At 39.1% G+C, this 25049-nt stretch overlaps 1 annotated feature.

Moving 5' to 3' along the window:
• Window positions 938-997: an enhancer, noted in NCBI's record as "active region_2270". NCBI's record gives its function as "activates an Ori minimal core promoter by ATAC-STARR-seq in GM12878 lymphoblastoid cells {active_cell/tissue: GM12878}" and the evidence as "EXISTENCE:reporter gene assay evidence [ECO:0000049][PMID:35858748]".

Here is a 25049-nt window from a genome sequence, read left to right as displayed (position 1 = left end):
TGAGAAATGGAGATAATATTAGCTACTTCAATAGATTGTTGTGTTAAATAAAATAATATATACAAAGCCCCTGGCATGTAACAAGTGCTTAGTAAATGAAAACTCTTGTTACATCTCTAAAGCACAGGATGAGTATATAATAAACATGTAATGAATACAGTAGTATTTTAAAATCTACAAGAAAAAGATGTTTGAAAAAAATAGATTTGTGGGGTCCTGGCATCCAGGCCTAGGCTCTTGGACAGCATTTCTACACTTGCCGTGGGTCAGAGGGGAACCCACTGTCCTGAAAGGTAAGTCCCAGGCCTGGCAGCATTCACCACAAGCTGATGGAAGAGCCCTTGGGCTTTAAGTGAACATAGACGGTGGCCTGGTAGAACCCTTGTGAACCAGTAGTGCTAATTGCCACAAAGAGAGGCTCCTCTGCCTGTGGAAAGGGGAGGAAAGAATAGGAAGGACTTTGTATCACAGTTTGAGTGCCAATTTAGCTGCAGGAAAATAAAACATCAGGTAAATTGCTAAGGTTTTTGACTCCAATCCCAGGCTCCCAGACAACATCTCTGGACATGCATGGGGCCTGGGGGAACTCCCTGCCCTGAAAGGAAGGGTCTTAGGCAAGACCCAGTGCCATGCTGGCTTCAGGTCTGACCCAGCATAGTTCACTGGTGGTCGCCACAGGGTGTTTGCATCACCACACCCCCCAATTCATGTGTCTCAGCACACAGAAAGAGACCCCATTTGTTTGAGAAAAAGTAAGGGAAAAGAACCAGAGTCTCTCTCTGGTAATCTAGAGAATTCTTCTGACTGTTATACAAGACCACAAGGTAGTACCTCTACAAGTTTGCAAAAACCACAGTGTTATTGGGCTTGGGGCCCAAGTTTCTTTCAAATACCTGGAGGGACTTCCCAAGAAGGACAGGCATAAACAAGCCCAGACTGTGAATACTAAAGTAAATAGCTAATTCTTCAATGCCCAGATGCAAACATCTACAAGTATCAACATCATCCAGGAAAACATGACCTTACCAGATGAACTAAATAAGGCACCAGGGACCAATCCTGGAGAAACAGAAATATATGACCTTTCAGACACAGAATTCAAAATTGCTGTGTTGAGGGAACTCAAAGAAATTCAAGATAACACAGAAAAGTAATTAAGAATTCTATCAGATAAATTTAACACCCCATCCAGGAGGGAGGTGGGGGGCAGCCCCCGCCCGACCAGCTGCCCCATCCAGGAGGGAGGTGGGGGGCAGCCCCCCGCCCGGCCAGCCGCCCCGTCCGGGAGGGAGGTGGGGGGCAGCCCCCACCCAGCCAGCCACCCCGTCCGGGAGGGAGGAGAGGGACGCCTCCGCCCGGCCACTGCCCCGTCCAGGAGGTAGGGGGTGCCTCTGCCCGGCCACCCCTGCTGGGAAGTGAGGAGCCCCTCTGCCCGGCCGCCACCCCGTCTGGGAGGTGTACCCAACAGCTCATTGAGAACGGGCCATGATGACGATGGCAGTTTTGTGGAATAGAAAAGGGGGAAATGTGGGGAAAAGATAGAGAAATCAGATTGTTGCTGTGTCTGTGTAGAAAGAAGTAGACATAGGAGACTCCATTTTTGTTCTGTACTAAGAAAGATTCTTCTGCCTTGGGATGCTGTTGATCTATGACCTTGCCCCCAACCCTGTGCTCAGCACATGTGAAACATGTGCTGTGTCCACTCAGAGTTAAATGGATTAAGGGCGGAGCAAGATCTGCTTTGTTAAACAGATGCTTGAAGGCAGCATGCTCATTAAGAGTCATCACCACTCCCTAATCTCAAGTACCCAGAGACACAAACACTGCGGAAGGCCGCAGGGTCCTCTGCCTAGGAAAACCAGAGACCTTTGTTCACTTGTTTATCTGCTGACCTTCCCTCCACTATTGTCCTATGACCCTGCCAAATCCCCTTCTGCGAGAAACACCCAAGAATGATCAATAAAAAATAAAAAAAATAAAAATAAAAATAAAAAAAATAAAAAAATTTAACAGATTTAAATAATTAAAAAGAATCAAACAAAAATTCTAGAGCTGAAAAATGTAGTTTACATGCTGAAGAACGCATCAGTCTCTTAACAACAGAATTGATCAAGTCAAGTAGTTCACTTGGTAAAGGAAAATTAGTGAGCTTGAAGACAGGCTATTTGAAAATACACTGTGAGAGGAAACAAAAGAAAAAAGAATAAGAAACAACAAAGCACAACTACAAGATCTAGAAGATAGCCCCAAAAGGACAAATCTAAGAGTTATTGGCCTTAAAGAGAAGGTAGAGAGAAAGACGTAGAAAGTTTAATCAAAGGGATAATATTAGAAAATTTCCCAAACCTGGAGCAACACATCAACATTCAAGCACAAGAAGGTTATAGAACACCGGCCGGATTTAACCCAAAGAAGACTGCCTCAGGGTATTTAATAAAAAAGATTTATCAATAATATCAAAATCTAGAGAGATAATGAATGGGGTAAGTTCTTGGTGATCTTTGGAGGAGTCAGTTTGAGAAACACAGCACCATCAATTGCCAGATTGCAATGGGTTAAATGGTGGTGAGGAAGCCAAAGCTGGAAATGTAACTCATCCTTTGCAGCAGTTCATGCAGCTATGATTCTTGTGGAACATATGTAGCAGTATCCTTGACTATGGAACCTAAGTTGAACAATATGCAAATGCCCCTGCAAACAGAAGTTGTCTTATAGAAATAGATCAGCAAAGAATCTAAGTCAGTTTGGGGGGTGTTAGGCCATTCTTGCATTGCTAAACAGAAATACCTGAGACTGGGCAATTTATAAAGAAATGAGGTTTAATTGGCTTGTGGTTCTGCAGGCTGTACAGGAAGCATGACGCTGGCATCAGTTCAGCTTCTGGGGAAACCTCAGGAAATTTACAATCATGGTGAAAGACAAATGGGGAGCAGACACATCACATGGCCAGAGCAGAAGCAAGAGAGGGAGAGGAGAGGTAACACACACTTTTAAATGACCAGATCTCACTCACTATCATGAGGACAGCACCAAGGGGATGGTACTAAACCATTCATGAGAAATTCACCCCCATGAACAAATCACCTCCAACCAGGCCCCACCTCCAATATTGGGGATTATAATACAACATGAAATTTGGATGGGGACACAGATCCAATCCATATCAGGAGGAGTTCCTTTCTTATTATAATTATCAAATTCTGCCTTATATTAACTTACATGTGGGCCAATCTTTTGCCTCTACTCTCTCCTCCTTGGGGGAACTTAGGACATCAGCTGCATCTATTAAAATGTCTTCTTCAGGCTGGAGACAACAAAGTAAAAAGTCAAAATTAAATTGAATAAGTAATTTCTAAAATGTAAACATATACAGTGACCTAATCGAATGAATGGCATAGAGCTGTCAAGTGTGATGCTAGAAAATTCCATCAGCTGACCTTGAACCACCTTTAATTTGATCTCTGGTCTCCACAGTGAGTTCTCCTTCTAGACACATACTCTCTTAATAGCAAGGGCACTATTTTTCTGAGTGCATGTGTGCAACAAATTTACCTTCTGTTATTAAAGCCTTACTACTCTTTGTCTTTCTGGCCTACTAATGGCCTTAGTAATATGATGCATTCATAATTTTTGATTAGATTTGAACCCAGGTGGCCTATATATATGACATACAATTAAACTGTATTAGTTTTGATAATGCTAATTCAGAACTTCCCCTATTCAGGTGTACAATTGAGCTTACCTTTCTGTTCTTCAGGAGAAAACATTTTTATAATTAATTCAAACTCTCATCTAGATGACAATGTGTTTTTTTTAAATAAATTAATTAAAAGAATGGAAAACTTTTCAAATTGTCAATCTCTTTTCACCTTTAAAATAAGCAAAGTGATTGGGTTTCAAACAGTTAAAATGCAGATTCCTGCATTCCACTCCAAACCTACTGAATTAGTATCAGAATTTTAAATCTATACATGTAAAAATCTCCCTAGTAAATCTCCCTAATTAATCTTATGATTAATCAAGATGAGACCACTGTACTAAATTATATTTAAAGATTCCATATTAGTCAATTTAGCCTAAGTTATGCTGTGGCAACAAATTACTCCAAAGTCTCAGTAATTTACAAGGAATAAAAGTTTATTTCTTATTCACTTAATACACATATTCTTATTCTTAATACATGTATATTATAGTTCAACTAAGACTCTGCTCCAGGTCTATCATCTTCACTCCAGAGCTCAGGCTGACAGTGTAGCTTTACTTGGAACTTTGCCTGCCTTAACCAGAGGAAAAAAATAATACAGAAAATCATGAGTTGTCACATGGCCACTCCTGAACTCAACAGAGTAGGGCTGTATAATCTTTCAGGGAGAGGAAATGAGTAATTGTCTACCACTGGGGCCTCCAACTCTAAAAGCTGAACAATAACATTAATGGCTTCCATGTAGATATTAAAAGTGATATTGATAAGAGTTTTCTTTTTAACGTCTTTATTGAGGTATAATTGATATACAAATAATTGTACATATTTAATGAATACAATCTGATGGGTTTGGACACATGCATACGTATGTGAGACCATCACCACAATCAAAGTAATAAACATGTTCATCACCCCCAAAAGTTTCCTCATGCCACCTTGTAGGTGTTTGTTTGTTTGTTACGTTTTATTTTATGGTAAAAAACACAACATGATATCTACCCTCTTAACAAAATGTTTAACTGTTGATATGGTTTGGCTGTGTCCCCACCCAAATCTCACCTTGTAGTTTCCATAATCCCCAGGTGTCCTGAGAGGGACCCAATGGGAGGTAATTTAATCACTGGGGAGGTTACCCTTATGATAGTGAGTGAGTTCTCATGAGATTTGATGGTTTTCTAAGGGGCTTTTCCCTCTTTTGCTCAGCACTTCTTCTTGCTGCCACCATGTAAAGAAGAACGTGTTTGCTTCCTCCTCCACCATAATTGTAAGTTTCCTGGGCCTTTCCCAGTCCTATGGAACTGTGTTTCAATTAAATCTCTTTCCTTCCTTGCAGCATGAGAACAGACTAATACAGTAAATTGGTACCAGAAGTGGGGTACTGCTGAGAAGCTAACCAAAAATGTAAAAGTGACTTTGGAACTGGGTAACAGGCAGAGACTGGAACAGTTTGGAGAGCTCAGAAGAAAATAGGAAAATGTGGGAATGTTTGGAACTTTCTAGAGACTTGTTGAATGGCTTTCACAAAAATGCTGATAGTGATATGGACAACAAAGCCCAGGCTAAGGTGCTCTCAGATGGAAATGAGGAACTTGGGAACTAGAGTTAAGGTCACTCTTGCTATGCAAAGAGACTGGCGGATTTTGCCCCTGCCCTAGCGGTCTCTGAAACTTTGAACTTGAGGGAGATGTTTTAGGGTATCTGGCAGAAGAAATTTCTAAGTGGCAGAGCATTCAAGAGGAAACAGAGCATAAAGGTTTGAAAAATTTGTAGCCTGAAGATGAGGTAGAAAATAAAATCCCATTGTCTGAGAAGAAATTCAAGCCAGCAGCAGAAATTTGCATAAGTAACAAGGAGCCAAATGCTAATTGCCAAGACAATGGAGAAAATGTCTCCAGGGCATGTCAGAGACCTTCACAATAGGGCATGTCAGAGACCTTCACAACAGGGCATGTCAGAGACCTTCACAGGCCCAGAGGCCTAGGAGGGTAAAATGGTTTCCTGTGCTGGGTCCAGGACCCCTGTGCTATGTACAGCCTTAGACTTGGTGCCCTGCATCCCAGACGCTCCAGCTATGACCAAAAGGAGTCAACATACAGCTCAGGCCATTTCTTCAGAGTGCAGGCCCCAAGCCTTGGCAGCTTACATGTGGTGTTGGGCCTGCAGGTACACAGACATAACAAGAATTGAGGTTTTGGAACCTCTGCCTAGATTTCAGAGGATGTATGGAAACACCTGGATGTCCAGACAAAGGTGTGCTGCAGGGGCAGAGCCCTCACAGAGAACCTCTTCTAGGGCAGTGCAGAAGGAAAATGTGGGGTGGGAGCCCCCACACATGGGGCACTGCCTAGTGGAGCTATGAGAAGAGGGCCATGGTCCTCTAGACCCCAGAATGTTAGATCAACCCACAGCTAGCACCATGCACCTGGAAAAGCCACAGACACTCAATGCCAGCCCATAAAAGCAGCTGGCAAGGGGGCTGTATCCTGCAAAGCCACAGGGTCGAGCAGCCCAAGACTATGGGAACCCACTTCTTGCATCAGTGTAACCTGGACGAGACATGGAGTCAAAGAGATCATTTTGGAGCTTTAAGATTTGAGTGCCCCACTGGATTTCAGACTTGCATGGGACCTGCCATCTCTTTTTTTTGGCCAATTTTTTTGGCCAATTTCTCCCATTTGGAATGGCTGTATTTACTCAATGCCTATACTCCCATCGTACCTAGGAAGTAACTAACTCGTTTTGATTTTACAGGCTCATAGGCAGAAGGGACTTGCCTTGTCTCAGATGAGACTTTGGACTGTGGACTTCTGATTTAATGCTGAAATAAGATTTGCGGGGACTGGTGGGAAGGCATGATTGGTTTTGAAATTTGAGGACATGAGATTTGGGAGGGACCAGGGGTGGAAAGGTATGGTTTGGCTGTGTTGCCACCCAATTCTCATCTTGAATTATAGTTCCCATAATCCCTACGTGTCCTGGAAGGGACCCAGTGGGAGGTAATTGAATCATGGGGGTGGTTACCCTCCTGCTGTTCTTGTGATAGTGAGTGAGTTCTCATGAGATCTGATATTTTTATAAGGGGCTTTTCCCACTTTTTCTCAGCACTTCTGCTTGCTGCTGCCATATGAAGAAGGACGTGTTTGCTTCCCTTCTACCATTATTGTAAGTTTCCTGGGGCCTCCCTAGCCCTGTGGAACTGTGAGTCCATTAAACCACTTTTCTTCATAAATTACCCTGTCTTGAGTATGTCCTTATAACAGCATGAGAACAGACTAATACAAGTGTACAATACAGTATTGTTAAATATAGGCACTGATAACCTATAGGTCACATTTGACAGGCTTCCAAATTAACCAGCTGGGGGAGGTCTTATGATTCATGGCTTACATCCTGTCACTAAGTAAATAATCTTATTGTGAGTCCCTCAAATTGTTGATGTACTGATTAATATGTAACCTACTGACACTGAAAAGGACAGTCATTTATGTCTGAACCATGAAGTTTTGTTGATTTGTTTCTGAATCACGAAGTTTTAATGATTGTCTTGCATGTACACATTTTAGCCTATATGTTGCATATGTATTCTACCCTCCAAAGAAAAAGGACAACTCTGATATGAGGAGCCCCCCTCACTTCTCCTAAACTTTCTTATAAAAGCCTTCCAATGTGTAACAGACTGAAACACACCTAACTTTGTGGGTGTGTCTTCCCAGGCCAATCCTCACATTTGGCTTCCAATAAACTTTTATCAAATTATTTCTGCTTTAACAACCTTTATATTTTGGTCAACAGTACTACGTTGCAGAACAGACCTCTGGAACTTATTCATATTACATAATCAAAATTTTAATGATTCCTATACTAGTTTGTTAACCTTGATTCTTAAGTTGGGCTCTTCTAAAAGCAGATGCTTAGACAAGGACTCAGAGGCAGATAGACAATTTGGAAGGTAAACTCAGAAAGACAGGTAAGAAAGTTAGGAAAGTGAGACAGGGAAGGTAGAAAAATGAATAAAAAGCAAGAGGAGCTCAGTCTAGCTGGAGATCCTCTGAGAAACCCCAGAGCCAAACTTCAGGACCCCAGGACCCTATCACTACAAGACAGGGAGGCTACGGCATGTGTCCACCACTGCCACCCCTATAGATTAAGGATTGCCTCCCAGGGATTAGCTCCCTCAAACTTTCTGGTTTATCTTTTACAGCTGAGCAAGCTCTAGTAACAATGAGAAAGCCCTCAGGGAAAGGGAAATATGCAGTTGCTTAAGGTGGGAATCTGTCAGTGGGTTGGGACTGTACATGGGTATAATAAAAATCAGGGAGCCCACAGGATATGGGAGGTGCATCAACAGCATTTGTTATACCCAGTTCCAAATTGACCTTTATTTGCTATTGGATATTTTGTTATCACACATTTCATTTTTAAGGTCAATCTGACCTGTCCCACAGTTAGTCCAAATCATTTTCTTTCTCTATTCACTATTAGTACTTAATAATGCCTTTGGTTTCACCTCAAGCATCAACTCAAATTAAATGTGAGTGTCTACCTGAGATACGTGTCAAGAAAAACCTGAGGTCAAGTTTGGTGCACAGTGACCAATTAAGTGTTTTTCATGGACAAAGGACAAAGAATATGGTTAGATTTGCCATATATCTGTTATCCTTTGAGTGCAGTAGTGGGGAAAAAAGTCTGTGCTAAGTAAACATTCCTGATTGCAACTTAAGGCATTGTAATAATTATTTAGATTGCTCACACAGGGAAGAAGTTTCAGAAATAATTACCTATGAATTTAATTCTACAAATTTAAACAAGATATGAGGGTGTGGGAAGTAAGCATGTAACTCATGGGTCCAGAAAAATCCTAATATAAAGAAAAGATGTTCTTATATCCTTAAGGATAGAATTTGTATCACATCATCACTCCATAAAAAAGGTATACAAATAATTTCACAAATAAGTGATCCTATGTTAGGAGATAGAAATCTAAGAAGAAATGCCAAAAAAAAAAAATCGACTGAGTTTTGCCTTGTTCTATCTCCCACACAATAGTAATGGGATACTTTAATACCCCACTGTCAATATTAGACAGATCAACGAGACAGAAGGTTAACAAGGATATCCAGGACTTGAACTCAGCTCTGCAGTAAGTGGACCTAATAGATATCTACAGAACTCTCCACCCCAAATCAACACAATGAACATTCTTCTCAGCACCACATCGCACTTATTCCAAAATTGACCACATAGTTGGAAGAAAAGCATTCCTCAGCAAATGTAAAAGAACAGAAATCACAACAAAGTGTCTCTCAGACCACAGTGCAATCAAATTAGAACTCAGGATTAAGAAACTCACTCAAAACTGCACAACTACATGGAAACTGAACAACCTGCTCCTGAATGACTACTGGGTACATAACAAAATGAAGGCAGAAATAAAGATGTTCTTTGAAACCAATGAGAACAAACACACAACGTACCAGAATCTCTGGGACACATTTAAAACAGTGTGTAGAGGGAAATTTATAGCACTAAATGCCCACAAGAGAAAGCAGGTAAGATCTAAAATTGACACCCTAACGTCACAATTAAAAGAACTAGAGAAGCAAGAGCAAACAAATTCAAAAGCTAGCAGAAAACAAGAAATAACTAACATCAGAGCAGAAATGAAGGAGATAGAGACACAAAAAAAACCCTTCAAAAAAAATCAATGAATCCAGGAGCTGGTTTTTTGAACAGATCAACAAAATTGATAGACCACTAGCAAGACTAGTAAAGAAGAAAAGAGAGAAGAATCTAAAAATAGACGCAATAAAAAGTGATGAAGGCGATATCACCACCGACCCCACAGAAATACAAACTACCATCAGAGAATACTATAAACACCCCTATGCAAATAAACTAGAAAATCTAGAAGAAATGGATAAATTCCTGGACACATACACCCTCCCAAGACTAAACCAGGAAGAAGTTGAATCTCTGAATAGACCAATAACAGGCTCTGAAATGTAAGCAATAATTAATAGCCTACCAACCAAAGAAAGTCCAGGACCAGACAGATTCACAGCTGAATTCTACCAGAGGCACAAAGAGGAGCTGGTACCATTCCTTCTGAAACTATTCCAATCAATAGAAAAAGGGGGAATCCTCCGTAACTCATTTTATGAGGCCAGCATCATCTTGATACCAAAGCCTGGCAGAGACACAGCAAACAAAAAAGAGAATTTTAGACCAATATCCCTGATGAACATCAATGCGAAAATCTTCAGTAAAATACTGTCAAACCGAATCCAACAGCACATCAAAAAGCTTATCCACCATGATCAAGTCGGCTTCATCCCTGGGATGCAAGGCTGGTTCAACATATGCAAATCAATAAATGTAATCCATCATATAAACAGAACCAATGACAAAAACCACATGATTATCTCATTAGATGCAGAAAAGGCCTTCAACAAAATTCAACAGCCCTTCATGCTAAAAACTCTCAGTAAACTAGGTATTGATGGAATGTATCTCAAAATAATAAGAGATATTTATGACAAACCCACAGCCAATATCATACTGAATGGGCAAAAACTGGAAGCATTCCCTTTGAAAACTGGCACAAGACAGGGATGCCCTCTCTCACCACTGCTATGCCTTGTTATTTCTCACTCCAAAACTCCTTATTGGGACTCCGCTTTCCTTATTTTCATGAACTGCAAGCGAATCGCAGAAGAGTGGACTCCCACTCATCTCTTCTTCCGTGAACTTCACAAGAAGAGGTGCACGTTGGCATAGCCTCACTCTTTTTATTTGATAAAAGGTGACTTTTGCAGCTTCCCAGGCTTAGATATTTTTATCTCCAGGTTGGACTTCAGCTTCATTAACTGAATTTTGACTCAAGCTGTTGTATAGATTCTGAGTCCAGCTCTAACTGATTTCAGATAGTTAAGTTCGTGTGCCCTGGTCTGACCCTTCCTAAGCCACATTCTATTTACGGCCTCCACCTGTTACCAGCCTTTTTCCTTCCATCCAAGGTGTTGCTGCCTTGTGCACACCTGACCCTCAGTCAGCTTATCACAACAATTAGATCAAATAGCCAACCCCTCAGAGAAAAACAAATGGAAGTGTCCTGCCCTCTTTCAGAGAGAAAGGCATCTTTTACTCCCTGGTCAAAATTCAGCAGCAGAGTGCAAATAAGAACATTTTCTTTTTTTTCCACAGGAAATGAAAACCTTAAAAATCTGTAGCCCCTCAGTGCTTTCATAGATGATAAGGTTTATGACCCAGCCACCATTTAGCCAAAAGCAACTTTTTAAAAGGTTTAGGATATTTGATAGAGTGAGCTTAGGAATGTATTTCAGCTCTTGTCAGTGACATTTAGATATGTAAACTTCCCTGCTTCTCTATAAGAGGATCTCACATGAATATGAAAGTGCTGCTGATTAGATAGTAGCCACAGGCCTGTGCTCTGGAGTCAGAGCTCCCCTACTGTGTAACTTTGACCGAGCTACTCTACCTCTCAACACATCGGTGTCTTCATTTGATAAATGGAAAGAGTAATATCAACTTCAGAGTGATTGTGAAAATTATATATATAAATAAGAACCTACAGGGATATGGTTTGGGTACATTTGCCTTCACTGGAAAGACAAAAATATTTATAATGATCAAACAAAGAACGAAGAAAGGATTTTAGAAATTAAATGATTAGAAGTGCTTCTTAGTTTAGTCATTGTGGTAGTTTTAAAACATGGCCCCAAAATTCTCTGGTATTCTTCTGATATGGTTTGGCTCTGTGTCTCCACCCAAATCTCATCTCGACTTGTAATTCCGTGTTGAGGGAGGGGAGTGATTGGATTATGGGGATGATTTTCCCCATGCTTGTAATTCCGTGTTGAGGGAGGGGAGTGATTGGATTATGGGGATGATTTTCCCCATGCTGTTCTCATCATAGTGAGTGAATTCTCACGAGATCTGGTAATTTTATAAGTGAGAGTTTTTCATGGGCTCTCACACACTCTCTCTTGCCTGCAGCCATGTAAGATTCCCCTTCCGCCATGTTTGTAAATTTCCTGAGGCCTCTCCAGCCATGTGGAACTGTGACTCTATTAAACCTCCTTCCTTTATAAATTACCCAGTCTCAGGCAGTTCTTTATAGCAGTGTGAAAACAGACTAACACATCCTCCCATTAAGAATTCTGTGCAATCTAAGAGTTTGAGACCAGCCCAGGCAAATTAGGGAGACCCTGTCTCTACAAAAAAAAAAAAAAAAAAATTAGGCAGGCATGGTTGCATGCATTTGAAGCCCCAGCTACTTAAGAGGCTGAGGTGGGAGATAGCTTAAGCCTAGGAGATCAAAGCTGCAATGAACCTTGATCATGCCACTGCATTCCAGCCTGGGTGAAAGGATGACACCCTATCTCAAAAAATAAAAAATAGGCTGGGCGTGGTGGCTCACACCTGTAATCCCAGCACTTTGGGATCAAGGCAGGCAGATCACGAGGTCAGGAGTTCGAGACCTTCCTGGCCAACATGGTGAAACCCAGTCTCTACTGAAAATACAAAAATCAGCTGGGTGTGGTGGTACATGCCTGTAATCCCAGCTACTCGGGAGGCTGAGGCAGGAGAATAAAAAATAAAAAAATACAAAGAAATGGTGGTCTATGTCCTGTCCCTTAATTATGGGTAGACTTGAAACTGCCTAAACTATACAGTCGGATAGAAATGATGTTTTTGTGACTTCTGAGGCTGGGTCATGAAAGGCCATGCTCCTTCTGTGTGGTTCCCTTGAATCACTCACTTCGATGGCTCCCTTTAGAGACACTCCTCAGAACCCAAGCCCCTGCTGCAGAAGCTAGAGCCACATGGAGAGTGACCAGGTGTCCTGCTCAATAGTCTCAGCTGAGCACAGGCTTCAAGCCTTTCCAGCCCACACATGTGAGTGAAGGAGTCCCCACATGGTTCCAGCCACAGCCATTTTAGGTATTTTCCAGCTGAGACCCCAGATATTGTGGAGCAGATAAAAGCCACCCACTGTGCCTTATTCAAATTCTTGCTCTTAAAATCCATAAGCATAATAAGATGGTTGTTATCTTTACTACTGTGTTTGGCGTGATTTGTAACACAGCAATACATAACCAGAGCAACAGCACAGCAAAATAATAGAAATAGTCCAAAGGAAATGGGAGATTTGTCTCATGCATATTGAATAGCTTGAACGTAAGGACAGATAACATTAAAACAATTCAGTTGTTGACATCTTATAAAAACGATCCTGCCCCAGTTTTGGAAGGATTTTCTCTGAAGCTATATAAATCCTTACACAGGATTCATTGGAGACTCTACTTTCAAAGCCTAATCATTATTAATTGTCGTAATTCTCTTTTTAAGTAAATAAATTCTAATGATATGTCATATGGAATTAACATTTACTTAATTAAACAAAGATTTAAAAGCACCTACACTACTTAGCATACTGTGAGGTAAATTTTTAAGTAATTTTAAAGTAATTAAAATCACCTTGGATGCCTTTTAAAAGTCTGATTCCAAGGCCCATCCAAAGAGATTCTGATTTAGTAGGTGTGCATTTTTTTGTTTGTTTGTTTGGTTTGTTTGTTTGTTTGTTTGAGACAAAGTCTTGCTCTGTCGCCCAGGCTGCGGTGCAGTGGCACAATCTTGGCTCACTGCAACCTCCGCCTCCCAAGTTCAAGCCATCCTCCCACCTCAGCCTCCCAAGTAGCTGGGACTACAGACACACACCACCATGCCTGGCTAATTTTTTGTATTTTTAGTAGAGATGGGGTTTCACCATGTTGGCCAGGCTGGTCTCAAACTCCTGAGTTCAAGTGATCTGCCTGCCTTGGCCTCCCAAGGTGCTGGGATTACAGGCATGAGCCACCATGCCTGGCCAGTAGGTGTGCATTTTTGACAAGCAATTCAGAAAATTCTGATACTGGTGGTATAGGGAAAAAAGCTTCTGATTTTTTCAAGCAATTCAGAATATTCTGATACTGGTGTTATAGTGAAAATACGCCTGAAGAGGGAATGGAGTACAAAAAACAAGTATGCACCATAGCTTCTGACCTCAAGCAACTTAATTTGAATTAATAGAAAAGACATTTCTGTGAACGACATAAAACAGCATTTAGGCTTCAAGTTGTGTTTGGGGTTTTAATCCACTAGAGTCAATATTTTTCTTCTTTAATTTGAATTGTAAGTTAGGAGAAAAACTAGGCCCAAGAGTCTGAGGTTTTTCTAACTGGCAGGGAAGCTTAAGCAATTTACTTAGTGCTCAATCTGATTAACACAGTCCTTTTACAACTTATATGAGCAATATATTCTAAGATTAAGTGAAAAATTTAATGTCAAAGTTGAATGTTACTTTCCAGGAAGATTAAAGGAAAGCCCTGTGTTTCTCATTGAATGACTAGCCCAGGGAGAGATTTGGACTAAATATCCCAGGAAGCTTTTCAGTAAAATTATAGGAAATAAAGGCTGGGTTGAAATTTTAATAATATCTTTTTCCCCACCTGTCCAGTCTCTTATTTCCTTATGTTCTTGGGATCATGAAAATACAAATATTTTCCAAATTCCTTTTAAAAATTCAAAGAAATATATTTTAAGTTAAACATGGCAGATTGAACACCCATGTCTGTCCTCACCCTCTCTTTAGGGATACCATTAATATGACCAAAAAAAAAAAAAAAAAAATATATATATATATATATAGTCTCACAGGGACAAAGAGAACAGAGGAGACAACACTAAATAAAAGATTTCAGCAAAATTTTTTCTTTTTTCTTCTTTTTTTTTTTTTTTGAGACAGAATCTCGTTCTATAGCCTAGGCTGGAGTGCAGTGGTGTAATCTCTGCTCACTGCAACATCTGCCTCCCAGGTTCAAGTGATTCTCTCGCCTCAGAACTCCCAAGTTGCTGGGATTGCAGACATGTGCCACCACACCTGACTAAATTTTGTATTTTTAGTAGAGAACGGGTTTCTCCATGTTGGCCAGGCTGGTCTTAAACTCCTGACCTCCAGTGATCCACCCACCTCAGCTTCCCAAAGTGCTGGGATTACAGGCGTGAGCCACCGGCACCCGGCCCAATGAAATTTCAGAATGTGAAAAAATTATGGGCAATTATTAACAGACTTAGAACAGAGAAGGCTCAGATATGAACCTTCTATGGTGAGACACCAACAACAGACCAGTGATTTCTGCCCTAGCCCCTCAGACTCAAGCATTTGGATTCACCTGGTACCCTTGAAGGTAGGGATGAAGAGTGGCATTGAAAACAGGAAGACTGGTTAAATGTCTATATAAGGATACTTAAAGTCCTATACAAGCTAAGAAGCCAAGCCACTACTCTTTCAGGAACTCTACAGAAAATAGAAGCTTTTCTTTATAAAGATAACTGCGCCTCTGAGAATGAGAATGAGATACTGTATGCAAACAGGAGATTAAGTGAAAGTCTTGATTAAAAATGGTGAAAATCCCAAAGTAGAAGCCTCTGATATTAAAATAGAAACCTAAACAAACGAGCAGATAGTTGAGAGAAATTTAGAAGAAATAAAGAAAATGCAGGAAGCAGAAGAAAACTTCAGAGCATTATAATTAACACCTACAGAAAGATAAGTAAAGATATTCCAATATGAAACAATCACATGCTAGAAAAAGAATATTCAGATAACTTTTAGAAGTAAAATTTGGATATACCTATTTATTCAAATTGTTAAAAATAAACTTGAGGACATTCCTAATCTTCATCCCTCTCCTCCCCAAGGAAGTGTGGATGATAGGAAAGAAAAAATGAGAAAATTAGAGGATCAATTCAAAGATCCACATCTGCCTAACTGCTGTTCTAGAGAGGAGGAATGAAAATGTAAAGTAGAATACATTATCAAAGAAACAATTTTTTAATTTCCCATAAAGAAAGACCATGTCTTCATAATGATACATTGAGCCCACAAAGTGCCCAAACAATACATGAATAGCTCCATACTGTGTCAAAGTAAATTACACCATAGTTCAAAGAAGAAAAAAAAAGCCCAACAACGTGGCACAAACGCAATAGAAGTTTATATCTCAAAGCATCAACATATACATATACATGGACTTTACAGACTTGTGCAGTCTCAAAAGATTTGCCTTCCAAATACTTTCTCAGAAGGTTCTTGGAAGATGTGCTCTACAAAAGCAAAAGAGAAATCCAAGAAAAGGAAGAAAAAAACTCCAAAACAGAGGATCCAAAAACAAGAGTAAAATGAACTGATGATGATAAAGACGTACTCCAGAATGACAGCTGGGCAGCAAACCTAGAAAGCAAGTTCTGACCGGGGAAAAAAGATGAAAGTTTTCAGAAAGGATAAGCCTGCATGCACGCATGTGCACACATACACACACACACACACACACACACACACACACACATTGAACTCATAGATTTCTTGGATGTATGACTACATTGAGAGATGTTTTAATGTTCTGTCAGTGAGTATGGGGTTTAATTAGTGATTGGTACATAAAAATTAAGTAATTAAAGGGTAAAGAAATGTATCCTAATACACTATGTGACTCATCTGCAAACCATATTAAGGCAGTTATAATGACATAAACACTGAATATTCATTTAACCAAAAATTATAACAGAATTTATAGAGGGGACAGCAAATGGCAAATGTATTGGGAGTGGGGTAAGGAAATATAAGAACACTAAATCCTCATTTTTCATGAAAAAAGTCAATTGATAATGCTTAAATTGAAAAATGTAAAGATACGATTTTTAATTTGTTTAGAAATATGGAGAGTCTTAACCTGGGTTCCCCAAAAAGCAGAGCCTGTGGCAAAGGCTGATGAGCTGCTAATTTATTAGGAGAAATAACGGAAAGGGGGAATGAGACAAGTAAAAGGTGAGTCCCAATCAAAGGTGGTTGCCAAATTATAACTCGGCTACTCTTGATAGCAAGCACAACTGATGGCTCATTGTCACAATTGTGAGAGTCTCTGTAAATGAAATCACTTGAGACTGTCCACTGTGCTAGGGATGAGGGCAGAAGACTTAACCATCAGCTTCTATAAATTACTGGTCAAAGGTTCACTTCACATGTGTGAATTAAACAAACACAGGCCGAGTGCAGTGGTTCATGCCTGTAATCCAGCACTTTGGGAGGCCGAGGTGGGTGGATCACAAGGTCAGGAGTTCAAGACCAGCATGGCCAACATGGTGAAACCCTGTCTCTACTAAAAATACAAAAATTAGCCAGGCGTGGTGGCACATGCCTGCAATCCCAGCTACTCAGGAGGCTGAGGCAGGAGAATCACTTGAACCCGAGAGGCTGAGGTTGCAGTGAGCTCAGATCATGCTATAGCATTCCAGCCTGTGTGACAGAGTGAGATTCCATCTGAAAAAGTAAATGAATAAAATAAAATAAAAATAAACAAACACAGTCATCAAGTGAGCAAGGTGTTGCTTCAGTGTCAATAGGGACGCCCTGGATATGAGGCAAGAGGCATAGGAGGCAGGCTGGAAGTGAGAGGTTGTTCGGTCATGGCTCAGTGAGGTTAGTTAGAGCCTATGCAGGGCTGGTCACGGGGGAGGTGACAGAACAAGTAGCCACACTCTTTAGAGACAAGTGAGGTTGTCTGATTCTGGAAGAGCACAGAAGGGGTGCTAGATTAAGGGGGTAAGTATTAGAAAAAGCTAATAGAATTAAATAGAATTGCCCATGAAGAAACAAAATAGAGGTAGTGAAGATTAGGCTAGGACTCTTAAAATGTAATTTTATTTTTAAACTCATGTATATGCATTATTATATTAAAAACACAAACTTAAAAATGCTTAGAAGTATCTTACATAGTAGGATTCTTTATTCCAGACACTTGGTTACAGCATTGTAACTGAGAATTGCTTTTAATTTTCACAAAGCCAAAATCAAAGTGGTTGTTGTTGTTGTTATTTTTAACTTTAGGCCATTTCTATTTCCATGCTACTAACATACTGAATGTAATCAATTACCAAAATTCATAAAGTCAGCCAACAATTCTCAAATTTTTCAGTCTAAGAGTTCCTTTATACCCCTAAATTTCTATAGGTTTTATTTATTGGCATTTGCCATGTTAGAAAATAAAATGGAGACTTTTAAAAATATTTTGTTTATTGATTCACTTTAAAATAACAATGTAAACCCATTGTATGATGTCATAAGTAATATCTGTTTTCAAAAAATAACCACATTTTCCAAAGCAAAATACTTGAGTGAGAAGAGCGGCATTGACAAGCACTTTTACAATACTCTTTACCTTCCAGCTTAATCATAAACAGTTTATTCGTTATATCTGCTTCTATATTCAGTTTGTTGTAATATGTTGATTGGTTAAAATCTATGAAAAAAAGAAACATGGCCTCACACAGATATGTTGTTAGAAAAGGAAAGGGTATTTTAATAGCCTTTTCAGGTAATTGTGTTTATTCTTCTTTGATAATACACCATAATGTGACATTGAAAACCACATCCATGAACTTTTTGTATTCTATTACATTAAAAATCATTAGTCCATTTGGCACTTTAAACAGACCTTTTTGTTAACCATGCATTGATCACATGAAAGGTATCTGTTCACTGAACTATTTAGGCCTTCCAAATGTTGATCCATTTCATCACATTGTCAAAAAATCACATTCGTTAATACCACCACCTGTCTCACTGGAAAAGTCTTTAGGTACTGGGAAACTGACTACCTTATGGTGATAAATACTAGTTTTCCAAATTTCTAATTTTTGTGTGGAAGCTCAAATATTTTTATTGACAACAACAAAAAAATATCAGTTCCTTTTTTAAAATGACCTGCTCGCTTCATTTATTTTTATGAAAATGTCTGCCAAATAAATTAGGATAACCCTAGTTTACCTGTCAGTTGTCCCTTCAAGTGAAAATGACATGCCATGAAAAAAGCAGCTAGTTTAGCTTGCAATTCAGACATACATAAGCGCTTTTCTTCAAAACAGCCATCACACGTCACACTATGAAACCAAAGGACTTTCTTCCTACCTCCCATTTTGTTATACAGAAAGTTAAAATGACATACACACAAAGGTTGAGATCTAATAAAACTAATAATCTTTACTGCTTCCTAAAGATACTTTTCAGCGTCCCTGGCATTTTTTTTAACTGTAAATGTATGGTGAAGAAATACAATGACTTCTAGTTTAGTTTGGTGCCACTGCCTTGATTCACGCTAAGGTGCCAGTAGTTTTACCCACCCTTGTTTTTTCACCCTGACTGCAAATGTCAGCTCAGTGAAAAAGGTAAACAATGTTGTTAGCATTATTATGAAAATAGCTTTAAACTCTAAAACACTCAGAAAGGATCTAAGAGACCCATAGAATACACGGACTGAACTTCGAGAACTACTAATGTATATACTAAGTATCATAAATCATTACAAGCAAAAATCCTCACTTTTTTTTTGCCAGACTGAAGTAAGAATTGAGCTAAGCATTCAAAGCTGTCATAAATATGTATGATGCCTTAGACTGTACACAGGCAGTAGGATGAGATACTAATGACACTTGATCACAGCTCAGAGAACATGAGTTCTAGTGCTATAATTCACAAGTCACAGGACCATTGATTAGTCAATTGTGCTCCTCCGAGTGTCATTCTCCCCATTTCTATCTTGAAGATGATACAGCCTACTCCTTAGGGTTATTGGATAGACTAGAGCTACTCAAAGTATGGTCCCTGAACCATCAGCATCATAGGAAAATAGAAAGTGTGGGAAAGCACCTGGGAATTTGTTAGAAATGGAAAATCTAGGGTCTCAACCCACATGTGTTGACTCAGAATCTCTGGGAGTGGGGCACAGGAATCTCTCTCAGGCTTTACTAATGATTCTTGCTCATATCCAACTTTGAGAAGTACTGATATGGACCATGCACGATAAAGGACTGGAAAATGTGAACACTACACAAATTTATGTTATTATGATAATAAGAAAAAAAGGCTTTCCAGGCAAAATAACTACATAAAGATTGCTACTTTAGTCGTATTTGTTTGTATCATCTGTAGTCAGGTAGCGCTAATCTAACTGTTGGTATCAAAGATATATGTGTTTCATAGAAATGAATTTAAAAATGCAAAGCCAAGAAAAAGTGTAGAGTTAGGGGAGATAGCAAAAGGTATGCGTGGAAAAACAGTAGGAAATAATGCTGAATGTGGTTAAAATATAAAATGAGATGTTTATACTTTATACAATAGGCAATAAGGAACCATTACAGATTCTTCCATTTTAAAGTGACATAATGAAAGACTGTTTTAGGAAATCAGTTCGCTAACCATACGTGGTGCAGAATGAATTGAAAGGGGAAAAGACAGGAAGGCAAGAAGTATTTCATGAAACCATACATTTTTCCTCCCCATAGAATAAAAAAATTCTCTGATGAATTTGGACAAGATTCACACAGTCCTAGGCATTTGTCTGATAGGAGTGAAACCAAGGTAAAGAAAAGTATGAGTATATGATGTGTTCATCACTTACCCCACACATAACTTTATTTCCAGCACTTTCACTTTCCCTTTCTTTCAGTTCCAAGTCTTCTGCTAATTCACTGCTCTCAAACTCCTGTCTCTCACTTGCCTGTCTCCCAACCTGCTCTCCTTTATTCAGCAGCCCGAGGTCTTCTCCTGTTAATGAAGAACAGCTTTTCTCTATTTCCTTTCCTTTAAGCCCCTATACCTACTAAAATTTCTAAATGACAAGAAAGTTTTGCAAGAATTTCTGTGCTAAAGGAGAGGAGAAATGTAAAAGCTACATGTCCCAGTCAGATCCTGCTTCTCTTCCCAGACATATAGGGAGTTATCAACAGCTTTTTCAAGCTAATGCTTCCATGTCAGCATCAGAAAAAGAAAAAGTTGGAAGTTAAGAAGGGAAAATAAAATGAAAACGAGATAGAAGCAATGTCTCTGCAATTCAGCCTTGGAAAAGATGAACAAGTCAAAAACGAGGACCTTGGAGCTGAAGTTGAGTTTATCTGTTTGTGTGTACAGGGGACAGAACCAGGTCAGAATGTCCTGGTGGGATTTATCTGTCCTGGAATAGAATTACCGTGAGTAAAACTAAAAGCATTTAATGCAAAGTTTGGATAGCAATGGTTGAAGAAGTCCCTCAGGTTTGACCCTTAATTAAGGGAAGCTAATTACATAAACAAAATATTATCTGAAGTGATCCCTGTCACAAGCATTCAATTAATGTGTATTTCTGGCTGCAACTACATCAGAAAGTGGACGTTAAAAAGATTTAGGGCCAGGTGTCGTGGCTCATGCCTATAATCCCAACGTTTTAGGAGGCCAGGGCGGGTGGATTGCTTGAGTTCAGGAGTTCAAGACCAGCCTGGGCAACATGGCAAAACCCCATCTTTACAAAAAATACAAAAATCAGCCAGGCATGGTGGAGCATCCCTGTAGTCCCAGCTACTTGAGAGGCTGAGGTGAGAGAATCACTTGAGCCCTGGAGGTCGAGCCTGCAGTGAGTCATGATCATGCCACTGCACTCCAGACTGGCAACAGAGCAAGAACTTGTCTCAAAAAAAAAAAAGAAAGAAAGAAAGAGGAAGAAGAAGAAGATTTAGAGCAAGGCAGAACTTCAGCATCACAGACAGGGGAGGAGTAACTTGAAAGTGTGGGGGATTTCAGCATCTTTCACAGTGCATCAGGCTTCATACCTTTTCTTAATTTAGACTGAATACAAGCATGCAGATTCAGTTAAGTGAGGTGTTATTATGAGATCCAAAGCTTTTTAAATGCTACCTAAAATTTTTGGATGAAAAACTCAATGAAAAGGCAATTTATTTATAGCAGTATCATATATAAGGAAAATGAAACTCTTTAGAAAATGCTTGAGAATCTTTCATTTAACTGTTTGAATTCAAAACAAGACCTATTTATTGGAATGAAACCATGGTAATATTAACATAGACTATAATCAATTTGGTCCTATTTTTATTCGTTCATAGATAATATCTAGCACAGTTCTAGATAACAAAGCTACCAGAATGAACAGGGCATAATATAGCTTATGGGGTTTATACTCTAGTAAAGGAAATGGGGGAAAGATGTAAACACATAACCATAAATATACAACAATATGAAGTAAATTGTAAATGGCAAATAGAAAAAAAAGGGGGGGCTAAGATACAGAAGAACTGAGGGGTGAGTTTAAATAAAGTAGTTAGGGGAAACATCTCTAAAAGGATATTAAATCTGCGACCTAACAATGAGAAACTATCCATGCAAATAGTAGAGAGAAGCTCTCTCCTGCCAAGAAAACAGCAGGGGATTGGTAGAGATGTTTTCAAAGACCTAAGAAAAGACAAGTGTGACTGAAACATGGTGTGCAAAGAGGAGAGGGGCAAAGGATGAGAGAAAGTGTGGGGCTCAGGCCATGAGAGCCTTCTAAGCTGCGCTGTTAAGAGACAGTGGAGAAAAATGAGGACAGAAATCGGTGGACTTGGCAACTTCGATGTAATGGGTAATGTGAATTACAGCAGATTCAGTGAAATAATAATGTCTGGAATCTCACTGGTGTTAGTAGGAGAGAAAGGCAGTAACGGAAGAGAGATTCACATCTTTGTCTCTCTTAAAGCTGTGAAGTGGGAGCTGAGGATGGAGAGATGGCTGATAGGAATATAGGGACCCAGGAAGTTTGGGTTTTGTTTTTGCCAAAGACAAAGATCACAGCATGTGTGTGTTTGTTCTGATAGGATTGCAGTGGTCCAGGGGAGAGGCAAAGGATAATGGAAAGCAGGAATGGGGTCCAGAGCACAAGGGAAAGATTAGATATAAGGGAAAGCACAAGATAGAAAAAGAGATTGCGTGAACACAGGTCAAGGTGTGGATTTACCGGTGGAAGGTTTGGAAACACTGTCCTCTACCATCCTCATCTCCTCCTAACCCCATAATCCCTGAGCCACTCCTTTAACTCATCTAATCTTTACCTATTGAAACTCTTTCTAGATTTAAATCATCAACACATCTTATCTGCTTGAAAATATCCGTGAATTCCACGTAAAAGTTATTTTCCTAAATCCACAAGTGTTTACAAAGATTGTACTGCCAATTCAATACAGAGGCCTTTTAACAGCATAGTCCTATAATTTTACTTATGGAACATAATGTGACAAGCAAAATATTTTAAGATGAAAGATAAATGTTTTGGCCACCTTTAGGTGGCCAAAAAAGTGGCAAGATCCAAAATCATTGCATAAGTTTTCTGTACATTCTTCCTAGTATCATTTAATGATATTATTAGGGTCTCATTATATGCTTTTTCACCCATGCTACTTCCACTTTTTATGTGTGGCATTCAAATTATTTCTTGAATAATATCCCCAGTGCTTCACAGAATGTGTCTCTGCACTAGAAATGTGTTTCTATATTCATATATCCCTTCATTTATTTTCCACTACTCAATTAAGAAAGAAATAATAGGAGACATAACATAAAGCACATTACTGTGCCTTGTCCAACTGAGTAGATAGATCACTTTCAAATATAGTAGCAAATGCTGTATTAGTATAAAAGAGCTTTTAACTTTTCAAATCCAAATGCCCTGAGTTATTTTAAGCTCTGCTGCCATCAGTCAGTTTCCTGGTGTGGAAGAACGTATAACTTAGATAAAGCTAGAGCAGCTGGAGCAATCACCACAAATCACCAGTTATAAGGCTGCTTGCAGCAGTAATACAGGCTGAAAAGTCCCCCTCCCCTCAAAAAAAATAATAACCCATGAAGAAGTTAATGTGGTGTTAAAGCTAGTAGTTGGCCGTTGCTCTTGCCATCTGTCATCCCATTGGACCACATAAGTAGAAGTCAACAGGAAGTTCATCTTTTATGTTGACATCACACAATGTCATTTTCTATTTATGGACATCGTTAAATTTCATTTGATATCAAAATTAATCCAGAAGTTTCTAAGAGAAGAAAGTAGTAAGAAATTTTCAATAATGTTTCAAATGTCTCTAAATGAAAGAACACTAAGCTTTAAGAACATTGCTAACCTTCTATAGAATACAAGTATTTTCCCCACAACATGAGTTTCAATTGAGAAATTGTATTTATTCAACTGCTCTTGTCTTCTTTGAGAAATATCTGCCCTCAAAAGTTACAATCTGGTTTACAACACAGGTAGCAGGCTAATTTAAATAAATCATAACTTTTTCTAAATACCAATTAAATTCATAATAAGATTCCATTACGCATGTACCAGGATGGCCAAAGTTAAAACCAAGATACCAAATGTTGGTGAGAACGTAGAGTGACATGAACTCTCACATACTGTTGACGGTAGTATAAAAATTGGTACAGTACATTTGGAAAACTACAGGAAAACTACAAAAGCCAGTGATGTGCTGTGACAGTAAATGTTTAACAGCTGAGTCTCTGGTGGGGGATGGGGGAGTAATTTGTATCATTTGCCAATTTCTATAGTGTAAACATGCCTCTGATGGCCAATCTCAAGCTACCAATGTGATGTCACTGAACGTGAATTTTGGAAGACGTGCAAAATTAGCTCTTGTGAGCTGGTGCAAGCCAGTCCATTTTACCTCTGACTAGGTTGAAAACTCATATTTCCCAAGACCCTACAAATTTTCTCCTAATTATAATCCCAATAAAAATGCATACACGTGTTCATGGAAAGCCACATATAAGAATATTCACAGCAACACTGTAAAAGCCAAAAACTGGCAACAACCCACATACCCAAAAAGTTAATTGTGGTGTATACATACAATGGGACAATATTTAACAATGAAAATTAACAAACTACTACTTACCCAAAAATACAGATGAATCTCAAATCTAACATTGATAAAAAGAGCCAAACATCAAAGAATAATGATTCCATTTAAATAAAGTTTAAAAACAGACAAAATGAATCCCTGATGATAGAAAACAAAATAATAGTTAACCTTTGTTGAGTGAAAGCACCTATGAAGGGGCACAGGAAGGCTTCTTAATCTGGTGATAGCAATGCAGGTGTGTTCATTTTGTAAAAATTCCTTGAGCTATAAACTTACGACTGTGCACCTTTTTTGCATGCCTGTTACACAACAATAAAACAAGTTTACTGAAAAATAAAACTTTTCCAACATAACAATTATGAGGATTCACTTTCCTCTGTGGTTCTTCTCTGTTACCCTAACTCTCATCACCTGTAAAAAAGAGTACAGATTCTACTGGTTCTGTTGCTTGCATGCTGTGTGACTGCACAAATTACTTAACCTCTCTAAGTTTCAGTTATCTCTTATACAGAAATCATAAATATTTACTTCATTGGTATATCATACAGATTAAAAATAATATATGTAAAAT

This window comes from Homo sapiens, chromosome 1 (assembly GCF_000001405.40).
Source record: "Homo sapiens chromosome 1, GRCh38.p14 Primary Assembly".
NCBI classification, from domain to species: Eukaryota; Metazoa; Chordata; class Mammalia; order Primates; family Hominidae; genus Homo; species Homo sapiens.
Note: the sequence above shows the minus strand (reverse complement) of the source record. Positions and strands in the feature narration are given on the sequence as shown.